Source organism: Homo sapiens, chromosome 13 (genome assembly GCF_000001405.40).
Source record: "Homo sapiens chromosome 13, GRCh38.p14 Primary Assembly".
In the NCBI taxonomy this organism is placed as follows: domain Eukaryota; kingdom Metazoa; phylum Chordata; class Mammalia; order Primates; family Hominidae; genus Homo; species Homo sapiens.
In genome coordinates this window covers 25,552,533-25,570,947 of record NC_000013.11, presented here as the reverse complement: position 1 = coordinate 25,570,947, position 18,415 = coordinate 25,552,533, and the positions used below count along the sequence as shown (strand labels likewise).

The 18,415-nt window shown below is 40.0% G+C and overlaps 1 protein-coding gene across 13 annotated transcripts in view; it reads right to left on the bottom strand.

The window, feature by feature from the left end:
- ATP8A2 (ATPase phospholipid transporting 8A2) overlaps positions 1–18,415 on the bottom strand; it is a 653,878-nt gene that overhangs the window by 454,904 nt on the left and 180,559 nt on the right. For all 13 annotated transcript variants that reach the window (NM_016529.6, NM_001411005.1, NM_001411006.1 and 10 more), the window contains 6 exons: positions 17,028–17,155; positions 15,880–15,957; positions 11,887–11,975; positions 11,183–11,227; positions 6,917–6,992; positions 76–181 (listed from right to left, as the gene is read on the bottom strand). In NM_016529.6, the coding sequence (NP_057613.4) occupies positions 76–181; positions 6,917–6,992; positions 11,183–11,227; positions 11,887–11,975; positions 15,880–15,957; positions 17,028–17,155 (522 nt within the window). The remainder of the gene's footprint in view (positions 1–75; positions 182–6,916; positions 6,993–11,182; positions 11,228–11,886; positions 11,976–15,879; positions 15,958–17,027; positions 17,156–18,415) is intronic.

The window sequence follows — 18,415 nt, the reverse complement described above, 5'->3', positions numbered from 1 at the left end:
CACCTCCAAGAATAACTGCAACACCCAGGTGTCCTGAGAAGGGGCCAGCAGGGCGCATCCGGCCAGAGCCCTCACCTGGGGAAGAGGCCTGGTAGATGATGTTATCTCCATCCTTCTCAGGAACAACCGTGTGGCACACGGCCAGAAGGGTGAGGAACTCCTGAATGCAAGGGGCTGTGGGCTGCAAACGTGAGGCGGGATTAGTGTCAGATACAACACCTTCAACAGGCACCAGGGCTCACACAAGCAGATCCCCAACTAACATCCAGTCATCCTATTGCTCCCTGTAGGACAGGGTAGAGGTCCTTAATATGGACCTCAGATCCCCCTCCTACCGCTCTGGTCTGGAGTCCCCAAGCCGGTTCTCCTGACGCGCACTAATCCCCAGGTTTCTCTTGGAATGCAGCTCCTGCGCTTTAGCTCAAGAGATGGGGAGAGAAAAGACGAAAGAGCCTTCCTGTACCTCCACACACCCTGCCTCCCCAGGAGCCTCGGCCTTGCCCACATGCTTCCATTTGCCCACGTGCTTCCGCCTCCCCACATGCTTGCACTTCACCACGTGCTTCCACTTGCCCCTCTGCTTCCGCCTCCCTGTGCTTCTGCTTCACCCACGTGCTGCTGCCTCACTCTCGCAAGATCCTCCGGAAGCGTGTGTTCTGCCTCCCTCACTGCTGTACCTCAGGCCCCATAAACAGAAGATGCTCCCATCTCCAGGCTCCCATTCCCCACCCCGACATCTGTTCTATACAGTGTCTATTCTTTAAGTTTATAATCTCTCAACACCTGTAAAGCAGTGCATCCCTTGCTCATTAATATTGAACAGCAACGAAAACCAGAATTGCCCTGGATATGTATTTAATAAAATTCTCTTATTCTCTCTGGGAAAAAAATATATAATTTTTTATTGGGATTAGAGCACATTCATAACTAGTGGGAAAATAATGCTGTCTTCCCATCTAAGAAAAGTGTGTCTTCCTATGTATTAAAAGCTTCTAAATATTCTAAATATAAGACCTGGCACGTCTATTAATTATTTTATTTGCTCAAAAATTATTTCAGTGACCACTATACATGAAGTACTGTGTAAGGCATTTTATCTATTGCCTTTTATATTATGAATGGAATCTTATTTCCATTACATTTTACAGTAGTTTCTTGTTGGGATGTAAGTAGAAACATTGATTTTTGTAAGTTAATATCCAATTGTCACTGAGCTCCTACTAGTTCTCTGAATTGCAGTTGACTATCCTAGGTTTTCAAAGTAGACAATTATATCACCCACAAATGAGAAGTTTTCCCTTTTCCTCCCAATATATAAACTTTCAATGTTCACCTGTCTGCAGGAGCTAGCACTTTCAGAATTACATTCAAGGCAGGGGTGATAAGCAAGCTTCCTTGTCCTGGGGTTATTTTAATGTCAGTGTTCTAGTGCATCCCTTTTAAATAGGCAACTGGCTATAAAATTGAGATAGATTTATATCTTCATGTGAAGGAAGCAGCTATGTGTTTCCTCTTTTGATGGAGTTTTCTGTTTTTTTAGTCATAAATGAATGACGGCTTCCACAAGAATATTTTTAGTTTCTTCTCTGTCTTGTGAATGTGACTTAAGCAGAATTTTATGGAAGCAAATCACAGCTATTTACATGGCTACTTCTTATCATGAAGAGAAAAGGCACCTTAAATTATAGTTCAGTAAAGTCATGAGCTTAGGGAATTTACACATTCCTCAAGGCCTGCATTGCAAAAATGGTAAGAAATTTTCCCCAAAAGTACTTTATGTGAGAATTTAGCTTCAATTCAAGATTGCCTTCCCCTGTACCTGAGAATTTTCCAATCCTGAACATAACCTTGTCCCGTAATGAAACAACATAAAAAGTGTCTTAGATTTTACAAATAAGTAAACCTAGTAGTGAGATATTTTCTAAGAGTTATAAAGAATTGCACACACAAATAAAGCCTTCTACCTCAAATGGTAAGCCAGACAAAATCCATGAAGATTTTTTTTAAATCCTAAAATAAAATTAACCTATCATTGGTTTTCTTCCTATTGCATTCTATAATAAATTAGGGAGAAGAGACAAAATTAATCTGAAGCCTATGGATGCTTATATTCATGTGTGTATATATGTATGTGTGTATCTTCTTAGATGTTAAAAATTTGTATTGTGGTAAACTATACACGTAATATCTATCATTTAACCATTTGTAAGTATAAAATTCAGTGGCATTTTAAATACATTCAACAATGCTACACAGCCATCACCACTATCTATACACAAAACTTCATCTTCCCCAGCAGAAACTCTATACCCATTAAACAATAACTCTCCATTCTCTCTTCTCTCTATCCCCCAGTAACCTCTATTTTGTTTTCTGTATCTATGAATTTGCCTATTGTATGTACCTCATAGAAACAGGATGATACTATATTTTTCCTTCAGTTAACAGCTTATAATATGTACAAAATGCCATATATCTAGAAATGAATATTTTCTACTTATTCGGTGAATTTAAAATAGCAGAAAATGATACATGTTTAAAATTGTTTTGCAAGCAAAATTGCAGCTACAAATTATCCAAATCATATACGTATATAAGTGATTTCTTCTTGAAGACTCAAGCTCAGAAATCTTAGGCATAATGATTCAAAAGAAAGTTATATCTTCTTCCTTGGTGAACCTTTGAAAATTTATCCCACACACTGGTTAGCAATGTAAGCAGGGGGTTGCATAAATTGTCCTCCGAAATTTCTCATAGGTTGATTCTCTAAGAGCCAAATTCCATCTTGGCTATCAGCCCACACAAAGCTTAACACAGTCCTAAAGCAACCAGAAAATTTGAAATGATGACATAGGAAAAAAAGAAAATTCTGTAGCAAATGGAAGTATTCCCTTGGGAGGAAAGTAAGGGTTTTCTTGGACCAAATGTTTTAATTTTAGTCAATAGTCCCAAGACAATTTAGATGAGAATGTGGGGCATGTGCAGCCGCAAATCCTCAAATACTTCTTCCCTCTCCACAGACACATTTTGGCAAAATGAACAAGTAATCTAATAGGCCCTGTGTTTAAACTGCTTAAAAACCTCCAATGGGTACATTTAATTCAATCCCACATCTCCCCAAAGAAAAATATTGGAGCCTATTCTATGGTCTTCATTATTGTAGTGCAGCTAGATGTTAAATGTCAAAGAGTTTAGTTAACATAGTAGCTAAGATGAAGAGTACCTCAGAAGGCCTCAAGGATCCAAGAAAGCTTAAAAATGGTACACATAGGCTAGGAGGCTTTTACTAAAAATTAGAAAATAAATTCCCAAACCAATCGATCAATTCCTCATTATGCTTGTACTGAAACTATGAGTATCCAGATTAAAATGCCCTTGAAGTCTCTGTGTTTGGATGGTCATCACAATGTCCCCACAGCAGGGCTTCCTTTTCACAGGGGTTGCACCTGTCCCTACTCTCAATGGCTTTCCCACTAAACTAAAAAGAAATTTGGCTCAGGAGGGCAGACGATGAGGAGGAAAGGAAAGAAGAAGAAAGATCACTAACTTATATAAACAGTGGGATTTCTTCCTAAAGTTCTTTCCACTCACCATGGCCACCAAGGAGGAGTCAGGAAAAAGCAGTGGGTAGGGGAAGGCAATGGGAGAGGTATTAGCTGTGCTCAGATCTCCATTCAAACATCAACAGAGGACAGGCTCAAGAAGAGTGTGGGATGAACAGTCAAAACCCCAAAACGTCACAGGGACCCAAAACACCAGTCCCGGGCCAGCTTTGGAAAGAACACCTGTGAGAGTCAGAAATGAACTGAACCAAGCTTTGAAATCTTTCAAACACTAGAATCCCAGTAGCATGTAGGGGGTCCCCAGAGAAGCTCTTCTCCAAGTAAGGATTTGCCCCAGGCCACTGGGTTTCTATGGCATCCCACCTTTATGTCAGTGCAAATACACTGCTCACATGTCAACAGTTATGGTAGCCATGACAGTCACCAAAGAGAATGGGATTCCTCTCTGTCTACACAAACCAAAATCACCTCCTCAGGGAGTTGCACCTTACCTGTCCTGCAAAAGCATACACTGGCTTCTAAGAATTTCACATGTCTGCTTCCCCAGTGAACAGGAATCCTTTGAGTGTTTTTTATTCGTCTCTTCCCCTAGTACCAAGAGCAAGGTATTTCATATAAATGATGTCCTTAAATAGATTGTGAAATGAGTGAATAAATAAATGAGTCTCTGATGTAAATGGGGATCCAATAGTTTGCTGCTATTCCTAGCCCATTACTGGAATTCTGTGATGTTCCATACACGCTGCTCATCTTATTTCCTTTGCTACTTTCTCCTCGTTGATCTAGGAAAGCAAGCTCGTGAAACTGGACCAAGAGCAGTCTCCGGAGCTCCTATGTCACCCTGCCACTTTCTCCTTTTCCATTCACCATCCTAACTTGAACAGACATATTCAGTTGCCCACCTTTGTGGTTACCCTCAACCTGAATACTATTTGAAAACACTTCTTTCCTCTCGAGTGCTCAAAGTACACTTGTTTCTTTGACATCTTTGATTAAAACCACCTTCCTGCAGAGACGATTCTTCAGAGGCGCCACTTTTCTGCTTGGAGAATCTTCAGCCTAGTAGCTGGATCTACCTCTAAGATCAGAATCCAAGAAAGGATTCTGTAGCTGTCTGTGACTGAAACAGAACATAGACTCCAGCAGCATCCTCTGTGGGCTTGGACCACTTCATCAGCATCACCAAGAACTGAGTCGGAATAGCAGCATCACAGCCTGTGGGTGTGCGAGCCTTATACACTCACATTTCAGAAGAGCTAGCAACAAATGGGCACTAACTTCAATAGAGAAAAGTAGGATTTCCTCATGAAAACTTAGAAAAAGTTTTAAATATATCTGTCTCTTAAAATTTTGGAAATTTGGAAAGATAAACTTTTAATTTTGCTCATGTTTACCTAATTTTAAATCTAGAAATTTTTTCAGAAAAAAAAATTAATCATATTACATCTAATTTATACTGACTTAACTAGTTGTGAAATGTTTTGATCATTGAATAATTTTCTAAGTTGGCATTTTTCAGAGTAGCCTTTAAAATAACAGTGAATTACCCTTCTAGACATTGGCTTAGGCAAGGATTTCATGACCAAGAACCCAAAAGCAAATGCAATAAAAAAAAATGTGATAAAAACAAAGATAAACAGCTGGGACCTAATTAAACTAAAGAGCTTTTGCACAGCAAAAGGAACAGTCAGCAGAGTAAACAGACAACCCACAGAGTGGGAGAAAATCTTCACAATCTATGCATCTGACAAAGGACTAATATCCAGAAACTACAACAAACTCAAACAAATCAGTAAGAAAAAAACAAACAATCTCATCAAAAAGTGGGCTAAGAAAATGAATAGACAATTCTTAAAAGAAGATATACAAATGGCCAACAAACATATGACAAAATGCTCAACATCACTGATGATCAAGGAAATGTGAATCAAAACCACAACGCAATACCACCTTACTCCTGCAAGAATGGCCATAACCAAAAAATCAAAAACAGTAGATGTTGGCATGGATGCGGTGATCAGGAAACACTTCTGCACTGCTGGTGGGAGTGTAAACTAGAACAGCCACTATGGAAAACAGTGCAGAGATTCTTTACAGAACTAAAAGTAGAACTACCATTTGATCCAGCAATCCCACTACTAGGTATCTACCCAGAGGAAAAAATACTTGCACACACATGTTTATAGCAGTACAATTCACAACTGTGAATTGTGGAACCAACCCAAATGCCCATCAATCAATGAGTGGATAAAGAAACTGTAATATATACATATATAATATATACACATATACATACATATAAAGAGAGAGATGATGGAATACCACGTGGCCATAAAAATGAATGAATTAACAGCATTTGCAGTGACCTGGATGAGATTGGAGACTATTATTCTAAGTGAAGTAACTCAGGAATGGAAAACCAAACATCATGTGTTCTCACTGAAATGTGGGAGCTAAACTATGAGGACGCAAAGGCATAAGAATGATACAACGGACTTTGGGGACTTTGGGGGAAGGGTGGGAGGGAGGCAAGGGATAAAATACTACAAATATGGTGCAGTGTATACTGCTCAGGTGACGGGTGCACCACAATCTCACAAAATCTCACACATCACCACTAAAGAACTTACTCATGTAACCAAATACCACCTGTTCCTCAATACAATTTTTCCCTTATAGAAAAATTAAAAATAAATAAATAACAAATAAAATAACAGTGAATTGATGTGATTCTGCAGTTAATACTGATTTGAAGTGGTGTGATGTCGTAGTTAAAAATCTAACAGACTGAGGTTTAAGGCTCATTTCTACATTTATGCGCTGGGTAACTACTCGCCAATTTAATCTTTTATTTAACTTCCTTGTCACCTCCCAGATGTGATTCAAATGTTGACTAAAGTGTTGAAAGAAATATATGTTAGTTGCCTGGCACACAGTAGAATGCAATAAATGCCACCTGTTATTATATATATCTTACTTTTGTTTCCTAAAGTATCCTAGTCAAAGGATATGCAATTACACTTGGCCTCTTAGATTCACAACTGTGACAAAATAGTACTGCAGAAATTTTACAAAGCAACAGCCATTGGAACTGTTACAGAATTATGTGGTAAAACTCGTCTTGATCTTGGTGTGCTACTTTACAAAATCACCAAGTATTTAAATACACTAATTTATGCATAGCGTTCACCACAAAGCATTTGTCTAAGATCACTTCTCAGAAGGACTCACATCATCAAGTCGAGACTTTTCCCATGCTCTAAAACTGCAACTTGCAAAATACTACATGCATATATAAAAGAAAGTTGCACCGTAAGCTGTTTGCTGTCTTCGAAGTAAAACAGAGCACTTACATGGCGATCCTCAATGTTCTTCAACAGCCTGGGGTCATCAAAGTCACAGGAATCACTACAGGGAGGAGGCATCCGACTGTAAGAGAGAACAGAGAAAATTTATTCAATTTAAAAGTTTCTGTTAAGCTAACCCAAACCTGGAAAGAATCTGCCTTCAAGAAGAACCATACCTAAAGTCCTATAGGGATTCACATTAAACTTTTAAAGACTTGAAATTCTGTATTATTATTTTAAACCTCAAAACAATTAATCCTGGAGTTTACTATAAATAAGATACTTTACGAGTTATTGTAAAGAACAACAGTTACAAGGAACAATAGTTACAAGGAGAAGAAACAGAAGCCAGGGATCAAGACAATGGCTGGCATTTCAGTTGGCCCGAGTCACTTCCACCAGAGAAAACTTCTAAGAGTGTCTGCTCACAGCAAATAAAACAAGAGTAAATATTGCACTGTATACATGCAATCATTTGTGGCCAGAGCGCATATGTAGGAGAGGGAAGACAACAAATAATTACAAGAAAGGAAACAATATGATGGCTGTGAGCTATCACATTGAAGAAAATGTGAAGAATCAACTATATATTCATTTATCTCCACTCCCTCCTGAAATTTTTTTTTTTGAGATGAAATTTCACCCTTGTTGCCCAGGCTGGAGTGCAATGGTGTGATCTCGGCTCACTGCAACCTCCGCCTGGCATGTTCAAGCAATTCTCCTGCCTCAGCCTCCCAAGTAGCTGGGATTACAGATGGCCACCATCACACCTGGCTAATTTTGTATTTTTAGTAGAGACAGGGTTTTGCCATGTCGGTCAGGCTGGTCTCAAACTCCTGACCTCAGGTGATCCACCCACCTCGGCCTCCCAAAGTGCTGGGATTACAGGCGTGAGCCACCGCACCTGGCCTCCTCTTGAAACTTCAACGTTGTCAAGACAAAGACAATGAAAGAAGACATGACAGCAGAGTGTATGTTAGTCTTAACTTGAAATACGTAACAGCACAGAAAACAGTAACCAACAGCTTGCAAGGGGGAGCACCTAAAATGCAAGCTGATGCCCTCAACAGTGTGCTGGGAAGGTGGAACAAATGGCAGCACAAGGCACCTGTGAGGTACAGGGAAGGAGGAAGACAGCACAGCTTCCACATCCACTTGAGGAACATTCAGCCTTCAAGAATCCTCACATCCCATGCGGCCAGACAACTGAAACTTCCACAGCCAGAAAAAAAAATGCTTATCTTTTACAGAAATTAAACCAGAGTAGTCCTGAGCCCAGGCACACTGGGCACACAGGCACACATGTGGATAGGTTAGGCATCCTCCCAAAACAGGGTTTTAAGTGAAATTCTATATAAGCTGAAAGGTACAATCACTGGCCCACTGCCTCCACACAGCTTCCAAAACAGTTGAACCAAATTTATAGCCCTTGGCAGGAAACTAGAAAGTTCTTTTTATGAAAAGAAAGCTGAACAGCTGACAAGAAAGACCCATAGACACTGACATCTAGGGATCCCTTAATACAATAGTGGGTCCTGGCTGACCATTCTCCAGGCAGGCAATCCGTCATCAACCACAGTGGCCCCACTCCACACACAGCCCTAGCAGTCAGGTTTCTTGTGTATAAGCTTTAAAACACGTGCAGACAGACAGCATCACCATTTATAAGGGAAACAGAAATCAAAACTATGATAAGGTACCACTTCATACCCATTAGGATGGCTATTATAAAACAAACAAAACCTGAAAAATCACAAGTGTTGGCAAGGACGTGGAGAAAGTGAAACCCTTGTGCATTGCTGGCAGGAATGTCAAATGGTGGCTCTGCTATGGAAAATAGCACGGTTTTTCCTCAAAAAGTCAAACACAGAATTACCATACGACCCAGTAATTCCATATTTAGGAATATACCCCCAAGAATGGAAAGCGGAGACTGAAACAGATACCTGTATGTCGATGTTCACAGCAGCGTTATTCACAGTAGCCAAAAGGTGGAAGCAACACAAATGCCCATGAACAGATGGTGGGATAAACAAAATGTGGCATATACATGCAATCGCATATTACTCAGCCTTCCAAAGGGAGAAGATTCTGGCACATTCTACAACATGGATGAACCCTGAAGACATGCTAAGGGAAATACGCCAAACACAAAAACACAAATACTGCACAATTTCACTTGCATGAGGTACCTAGAACAGGCAAAATCATAGAGACAGAAAACAGAATGGTGGTTACTAGGGTCTGGAGGCAGGCAGCAATGAAGAATTTTTGTTTAATAGATAGGGTTTCAGATGAAAAAGTTCTAGAAATGAATGGTGCGGATGGCTGCAAAACATTATGAATCTATTTAGTGCAACTGAATTGTACATTTAAAAGAGTCAAATGATAAATATTATGTTACACATATTTTACACAAAAAGAAATGAAAATATATGAGCACACAGCCAATGATCACCAGGTTTTTGAAGAAAGCCTATAGAAAATAAATCAAAACACCAGGGGTGGGCAGTAGGGAGGGTGGGAGAGGAGGGCAGAGAAAACACGGAATGCAAAAGCGAAGTTAGGGGAATGCTTTCGAAAACTGAAAGTGAGATCACACAGAAAACTCATGACGAAGGATAGAAGATCAAGGTGAAAAAAATACCAGGAAGTAAAACAAAAAAAATCTATGGAAAATGAGACAGAACGATAACAAAACTGGAGGATCAACCCAAGAGATTCAATATCTGACTATCAAGAGATGCAGAGGGAACAGGGAAGCTGGAGAGGAGGAAAATTATCACAGAAATAATACAAAGACACTTCTGAGAATCAAGAAGAGGAAACTCAGAGACAGAATGGCCCACTGGTGGTCCAATGAATGTCCAAAATAATGGAAAAAATTCACTTTGGGAGGCCGAGACAGGCAGATCACGAGGTCAGGAGATCAAGACCATCCTGGCTAACACGGTGAAACCCCGCTCTACTAAAAATACAAAAAATTAGCTGGGTGTGGTGGTGGGCGCCTGTAGTCCCAGCTACTCGGGAGGCTGAGGCAGGAGAATGGTATGAACCCGGGAGGCGGAGCTTGCAGTGAGCCAAGATGATGCCACTGCACTCCAGCCTGGGCAACAGAGCGAGACTCCGTCTCAAAAAAAAAAAAAGGAAAAAATGTAAAAACCTGCCCGAAGCTTCATGGTTGAAATGGCATATGCCTAAGGAGGTACAGAAAATCTGAAATGCTTCCAAAGGGGGTGGAGCAAGAGTAGGAGATAAACTCTCACCTTCCATGGTAAAAAGTCAAACAATGTCTAAATGTTTTTAATTTGTCTTTTTTTTTTTTTTTTTTTTTTTTGAGACAAGAGTCTCACTCTGTCACTCAGGCTGGAATGCAGTGGTGCCATCTCGGCTCACTGCAACCTCTGCCCCCTGGGTTCAACTGATTCTCCTGCCTCAGCCTCCCGAGTAGCTGAGATTACAGGCACCCGCCACCACATCCAGCTAATTTTTGTATTTTTAGTAGAGACAGGGTTTCACCATGTTGGCCAGGCTGGTCTCGAACTCCTGACGTCCAGTGATCTGCCTGTCTAGGCCTCCCAAAGTGCTGGGATTACAAGTGTGAGCCACCACACCTGTCCTAAATGTTTTTAATTTAAAAACTAATATAAACATTATTTTGAAATATAAAAATAAAATTTTTTAAAAAGCAAAAGCACTGAGGTTGGCTGCCTCCAGGGAATAGGGAGTGAGTGGGAAACACTGAACCAAGGGCAGTCAATTTTTTTGTTAAAAGTCCTATAGTATCCCTGGACTTTTAAAGCCATGTTCATCCTTAAATTTTATCTGGTTTTCTTTCAAAACAACATATATGCAACTTTTATTTACATACAAAAATAGGCAGGTGAGAAATGCTAATAAAATTACTCCAGGGCGAGCCTGGTTTCTCACACCTGTAATCCCAGCACATTGGGAAGACACAGCGGGAGGATAGCTTGAGGCCAGGAGTTTGAGACCAGCCTGAGCAACATAGTGAGACCTCATCTCTACAAAAAATTACAAAATTAGTCAGGCATGGTGGTGCATGCCCGTAGTTTTAGTTACTCAGAAGGCTGAGGCAGGAGGATCACTTGAATCCAGGAGTTCGTGACTACAGTGAGCTATGACAGTATCACTGCACTCCATCCTGTGCAATAGAGTGAGGCTGTCTCTAAAAATGTAAATGAATAATAATAAATAATTATTCCAAAAGCTTTTCCACTAAAGTGTCAAGAAGTGCTAGAATCTACTTACCAGAAGTCATCTGAAGACGGCTCTCTTGCCAATTCTGGGAAGTGACTGCCAGAGAAACGGAAAACAGAGTGGTCACAAAACTGTGATCAAAAGACAGACATTCTGATCAAAACTGATCTAATTCTTAGATTAGATATACAAACTTACAGATTCTCAGGGACTTCTTACCAAGTTAATATTTGCAGAAATAAACCACTTTTTTTGTTGCTGTTTTTCTGTTTTTGTTTTTGTTTTGAGACAGAGTCTCACTCTGTCACCCAGGCTAGAGTGCAGTGGAGCAATTCCGGCTCACTGCAACCTCTGCCTCCCAAGTTCAAGCGATTCTCCTGCCTCAGCCTCCTGAGTAGCTGGGATTACAGGCACATGCCACAATGCCCAGCTAATTTTGTATGTTTAGTAGTGACAAGGTTTCATCATGTTAGCCAGGCTGATCTCGAACTCCCAACCTCAGGCAATCCACCTGCCTCGGCCTCCCAAAGTGCTGGGATTACAGGTGTGAGCCACTGCACCCAGTCAGAAATAAACCATGTTTTAACTGTTCAGAGTTTAATTTGGGATCCATTCAGTTACAAACACATTCCATAGTAACTACTTTATCCTTTCAAAACATCAGAAAGTCAAGATATTTGACTAAGTAGCTAAAAATAAACTTATTTTCTTGAAAGAATACAAGTAAATTTTCAGTAAATGATAAACACACTGACCCATAGGTTACTCCGGCAATGCTGCACTTCTTAAAGTTCATGATATTGCATGTAAGCGTTCCAGTCTTGTCAGAAAAGAGATATTTCACCTAAACCAAAGAATAAAAGAAATATACATCAGGAAGTATTGAGATGCAAAGATCAACAAATGAAGTCTTTCCTTCTATATTTTTCAAAACCTGTATGAAACGGGTAGATTTCCCTAAAGCAAGCAAATTAGTAACAAAAAATATATTAATATTTTAATGCTTAGACCACTTACAAACCTTCTTCCATAACTAATTATATAATCAAAGTGTACCGAAATATGCAGAGGGAGTTGCAATAAGAGCTCTGACTGAATGATGTGCTACTGAATGATATGCACCATCATTCTACACGTAACATTTGAGAAATTATGTCATGGATTAGTGAGGGAGAGTAATTAACAGAATTGCCTCCAGAGGAAACTCCAGTTTCTCAGTGGTCTTCCAAAAAGGCGTCAGGACTTGCTGAGTGCTAGATACCTTCCAGAGATCCCAGAGAACTGGTCTAGGGAAGCAGTGTTTTACTGTTGTATAGAAGAGGGACTGATTACATGAATTGCTTACTCAGTAATTTTTCTTAATGATACAATATAAACATACACTGGGAAGTTTTTTGAAAACAATCAAAGGGACTTCAAGTTATTAAAGCTCCTAAAGAAGTCAAATACTACATCTACATATAATACTCGTACCTTAGGGCTAATTTATACTTTAAACAAGTTTTTACATGCAGTAAGTCTAGGGGTATGGAAAATTTAGTAGAATCTGCCTTTAAGTAAGCAGGATTCTTTCTGCATTTTTAAGAAAATTAAAATATCATATAAAAAAACTAAAGGCCAGGTGCAGAGGCTCACACCTGTAATCCCAGCACTTTGGAAGGCCAAGGCGGGTGGATCACCTGAGGTCAGGAGTTTGAGACCAGCCTGGCCAACATGGCAAAACATCAACTAAAAATACAAAACAAATTAGCCAGGCATGGTGGCAGGTGCCTGCAATCCCAGCTACTCAGGAGGTTGAGGCAGAAGAATCGCTTGAACCCAGGAGGCAGAGGTTGCAGTGAGCCGAGATCGCACCATTGCAATCCAGCCTGGGTGACAAGAGTGAAACTTCATCTCAAAAAAAAAAAAATTTTTAATGAACATTTTATAATAAGGGCTTATTAAGATTTGCTATCACTTTGCCTACTAAATTTTAACTTATCCTTAAAGTTCCAACTCAAAATTTCTTCCTCATGCAAACTTTCCCCATATCCTCAATTAGGATGAACTACTGAAGCATCCATGGGTACTTCTTGAACACTTTCAATCCTTAAATTATTCAGGTCCAGTTCAATGACACCTGCAAACAATTATATACTGCACACTGTGCTAAACTAACAAAGGCAACCAAAGACCTGTATAGGGCACACCCACGCCCTCACAAAGTCTCCAGAGAGAAATGGACACTACATCACTCATACCCCTTATTTTACTGTATTTATGTTTGGAAGACTGTTATGGGAACATAGAAGACAGACTAACCAAGCCCGGAAAACTGGAGAAGAGTTCAAAGAGAAGGCAAATTTAGCCTGATATGCACCAAGAACTCACTGATTCTTACAGGAGAAGGATTTTACCAACAGATAAAGGAAATGACAAAGCCATTCTAGAATGAGAGAACATAAGCCAAAAAAAAGAAAAAAAAATGAGGATTGACAGCCCAAGGTCCAAGGCCTGCTCTGGGTGCTGTATTCAGCCCTTTGTGACCAGAGCCCCAAAGGCAATGGGAGGATTTGTGCTCTGTGCCAAGGACATTCTCTGTAATAACAATCCATCCTGTTATACTAAGAATTTAGAGCACTTATATGAATATACACAATTTAAGGAAAGATAAAGACAAAAATTAAGTAGGTTTGGAAAATTATATCAAAGAAACACAATCACTTGCTTTTTTTTGTCTACAAAGGTCTATTTTAGTCTACAAATTTGAACCTCAGTTTTCTGGCAATAAACTCAAAAATGATACACAAACCATCACAGAATTCACTCTATCCTCGAGGAAAGAAAAATGAAGAAAGCAAGCCTACCTCCATAAGGGAGTTTTTCTAACCCTCAGATCAATGAGCCATGTCGCCTGCATTTTCACAGAGGGATAATGAGGAGCAGGGGAGATGCAACATGGTAGTATTCCTTCACCAGGCAGGGAAGCTTGGAACAGCCAGATCTCGACAGACAACCCGAAGTCCCCAATCTGACACTGAATAACCAGGTGTCCTTCGATAAGTTACTCCTTTCCTTCTCTATAAAATGAAGGTACAGCACCCTCCCCTTAGGGTTCCTGGTGGGTTTGAATAAGGTGTATGAAATGAAGTCAAAATCTTTAATGGCAAAAGGCATTCAAAAGAGGTTAGTCCTCAAAAATCAACAAGTAGGACCTAATTAAACTAAAGAGCTTCTGGACAACAAAAGAAACTACCAACAGAGTAAACAGACAACCTACAGAATGGGAGAAAATATTTGCAAATTATACATCCGACAAAGGTCTAATATCCAGAATCTATAAGCAACTTAAACAACTGAACAAGCAAAAACCAAACAACCCCATTAAAAAAATGAGCAAAAGACATGAACAGACATTCTCCAAAGAAACATGCAAGTGGCCAAAAAACATATGAAACAATGCTCCACATCACTAATCATCAGAGGAGTGCAAATCAAAACCACAATGAGATACCATCTCACACCAGTCAGAATGGTTATCATTAAAAAGTCAAAAAACAACAGATGCTGGCAATGCTGCACAGAAAAGGGAACACTTATCCACTATTGGTGGGAGTATACATTAGTTCAGCCACTGTGGAAAGCAGTATGAAGATTTCTCAAAGAACTTAATACAGAACTACCATTTGACCTAGCAATCCCATTACTGGGTATATATCCAAAAGAACACAAATGGTTCTAACAAAAAGACATGCAGCATCTTTATCACAGCACTATTCACAATAGCAAAGACATGGACTCAACCTAGATGCCCATCAACAGTGGATTGGATAAAGAAAATGTGGTACATATACACCATGGAATACATAGCCAGAAAAAAAATGAAATCATGTTCTTTGCAGCAACATGCATGGAGCTGGAGGCCATTATCTTAAGAGAATTAATGCAAGAACAGAAAGCCAAATACCACATATTCTCACTTATTAAGTGGGAGCTAAACATTGCATACTCAAGGACATAAATATGGGAACAAGAGACACTGGGGACTACTAGATGGGGTTGGGGAAAAGCGTTGAAAAACTGTTGGGTACTATGCTCAGGTACATGAGTGATGGGATCATTCATATTCCAAACCTCAGCACCACATAATATACCCACAAAACAGACCTGCACATTTACCCCCGAATCTAAAATAAATATTGAAAAAATAAATTAAATTAAATTAAACATTTAAAAAGAGGTTATTCCTTACAGGAATGTCAATGTCAGACACAGACATAATGCAAAGCCCAACTTAGTAAAGGCAAGAGGAGTTCAGGGGTAAAGGTGGAAAAGATACTGTTCCCTAGAATATTCCAGAGACAAAATTCGGAACATGCGAGAAATGCATGTCCTTTAAATTGGCCCCCACACGTTTTGTAGGGTTACTCAATATCTAAGTATCTCAGCCATCGTTTTCCCCGTTATTTGCTTCTGATAACACTTTTTTAAGCGTCCCAAATGATGTTGCACTGTATTTTTTATATTACTTCTTTTTTTTTTCTGGTTACTTCTGGGTGATACGACATAGCTGTGTCTCAAAAAGCAAGACAAAACTGAGTAACGCTTATATTTACTGGCACATTCAAAAGTATTATATAGCTCTTCAGATGTTCTAGCCATGTTCATGGAGAAGTATTTTTGCAAAATCTTTCCATGGTTCTTCTGCTAACACTCATTTTCCCTCATGCTCGTGTCACCATTCCCAAAGTTCCCAGAGGCTTTTTCACCTGCCCAAGCTCTTCATTAAGGTTTGATGTCCTGGCCATGGCAGGAGTGTCATTTCCTATATAATACATATCTGTGTCCTGAGAGAGAGAGAACAAGAGACAGGATTTCAGAAAATATATACCATTAATTCTTCATTCAGATTAACACAGAAAAGAAGCTAAGAATGGGTAATCTAAAACCCTTTTATTTTAATAGAAATGCTGATTTTGGCTGGGCGCAGTGGCTCATGCCTGTAATCCCACCACTTTGGGAGGCCGAAGTGGCCAGATCACTTGAAGTCAGGAGTTCGAGACCAGCCTGGCCAACATGGTGAAACCCTGTCTTTACTCAAAATACAAAAATTAGCCAGGCATGGTGGTGCATGTCTGTAATCCCAGCTACTCAGGGAGGCTGACGCATGAGAATCGCTTGAACCCAAGAGATGGAAGTTGCAGTGAGCTAAGATCACACCACTTTACTCCAGCCTGGGTGACAGCACAAGACTTCATCTAAAAAAGAAATACACACACACACACACACACACACACACACACACACATACACACACACACACACATGATTTATATTTATATAGATATGATTTGATTTCAAAATAATCATTTCACAACCTAGACTAACTCATGATTCTCACCTTGCTGACGGGATTGCTGTGAAGATCAAATAAAAATGCACATCAAAGTGCCTGGTCTACAAATACTGGCTGCTAAAGTCCACTACTTAAGAGCCATGGCAGTCCTTTAAATATCTTATCTCCACCCTTACAATCAAATCCAAGTTGACTATCACAATGAATTTTGATATGCGAGTGACCACTATAGTAAACACACCCAAGAGGCCTTTTCTTCAGCCTTAATTAGATGTTAAAAGCGTGAATAGCAGGTGCAGCCAGATGACAGGCACTGGCTCAGCATTCCACCCCATTCTCTGACCAATCCTCACAACAACGCCTTGAATAGGTACCACTGCCCTTCCATTCCCCAAAAACACCCTCACTGGTGATCCCTGGCCAGTTCTTTGTATGGCCAGTTTAAGCCCCTGGACCTAATGGTAAATGAATATAGTTCTTCTTTTTTGAGTGCTCAATTAAATGCCAAAGGCTCTGAAATAGCATTGGAAAATAGTGATTCAACTCTGCTTTAATACTCACCCAGTTTATGAAAAGGGCTTGAGTATACTTCACAACCTCAAGAGTCACCAACAGACTGATGGGAATAAGATTGTTGTATAAGATGATGAACGTCAGTAGGTTGTATCCAAAATTATCTGAGGTGGTGTCTGTGGAAGGAAACCAGAGTATCTGAAAGGTGTTCACAACCAAAGTCTATTGGCTCATTTAGAGATTCATGTTAAAATAGTTATTGAGCACCTCCTGCATGTCAGGAACCGTGAGTTCAAAGGCTGCTTTCTGTAGGAGGCACACAGGCCCCACAATGCGACTGCACAGCAGGATGCATCCGCTAAAGAGAGGCTCACAGGACGTAGCGGGAACCAACACAGAAGGCTTTCTAATGGGAAGGCATGGTCACTGAAGGCCATCCAGAAGAAGAAATGCTGCTTTCAAGTTTTGAAGAACAGAGAAAAGAAGCAAACTTGAAAGAATGTAGAAAAGAAGACAGGCCTTTGAAATGGTTGTAAGGAACACCTACAAGCTCACTAAGGTACGTGTATATTGGGGATACTCCAAAGAGCTGGAAAGATGGACAAAAGTGTGAACAAGAGAAGCAGACAAAGAGAGAGAAGGCTTGAGCCCAGCTAAAGATAAGAGAAGGGATATCTGGACGGAACAAGTTCCCTAAGGATGGAACAGGACCCTAGGGGATGGAGTCCACAGCAGAGGCAGCATCAGCTCCAGGAGGAACAGAGAATGGGGGAGGGAGAGGGGGACAAGGTCTGGGGGTATCAAAGGGAAAGTTCTTTCCTTGACAGCCATGATCTTCTGCTTGAAGGGTAAAGTAGTGAGATCTTCTTAACTTAGCAAGAGGCTTAAGGAGAAGGTTGCAACAGCGTTTAACTGATATTAAAGCTGTGAAGGGAACTAGAATGAGAATAAAGATAGCAGAAGGCTGGGATTGGAGGGAGACTGATAATTTGTAATGGCTCCAAACCATAGTTACTAGGTTTTTTCCCAGGAAATTACATCAAATGGTGGTAGTCTGATTCCAATTTAGAGTTTTGAAGCGTGGCTGTGATGGAAAGACAAGGAGCTGGGAAGGTACAGGGGGAGCAGGCATATGCTGGCCAGTAATTTTACCTTTCCACAATCCCTTCACTTCCTACTCACTACCAACCCTTCCACTTTTCCTGCTGGTTGCTTTTCTTCCTGACATATTACTTTGCTCTCTTGTTCTCCTGTAGAATTAAGGAGTTTCTAAATAGGATCTCTAAGTTCCAATAGTTACAAATATCTGTAAGGTATAAACAAATATCTACCTGACAATTACAAATACAAGAAATACTAAAGAAGTTCTCCAGGATGAAAGAAATACCAGACAGTAATTAAAATCCACAAAAACAAAGGACACTAGTAATGATAAT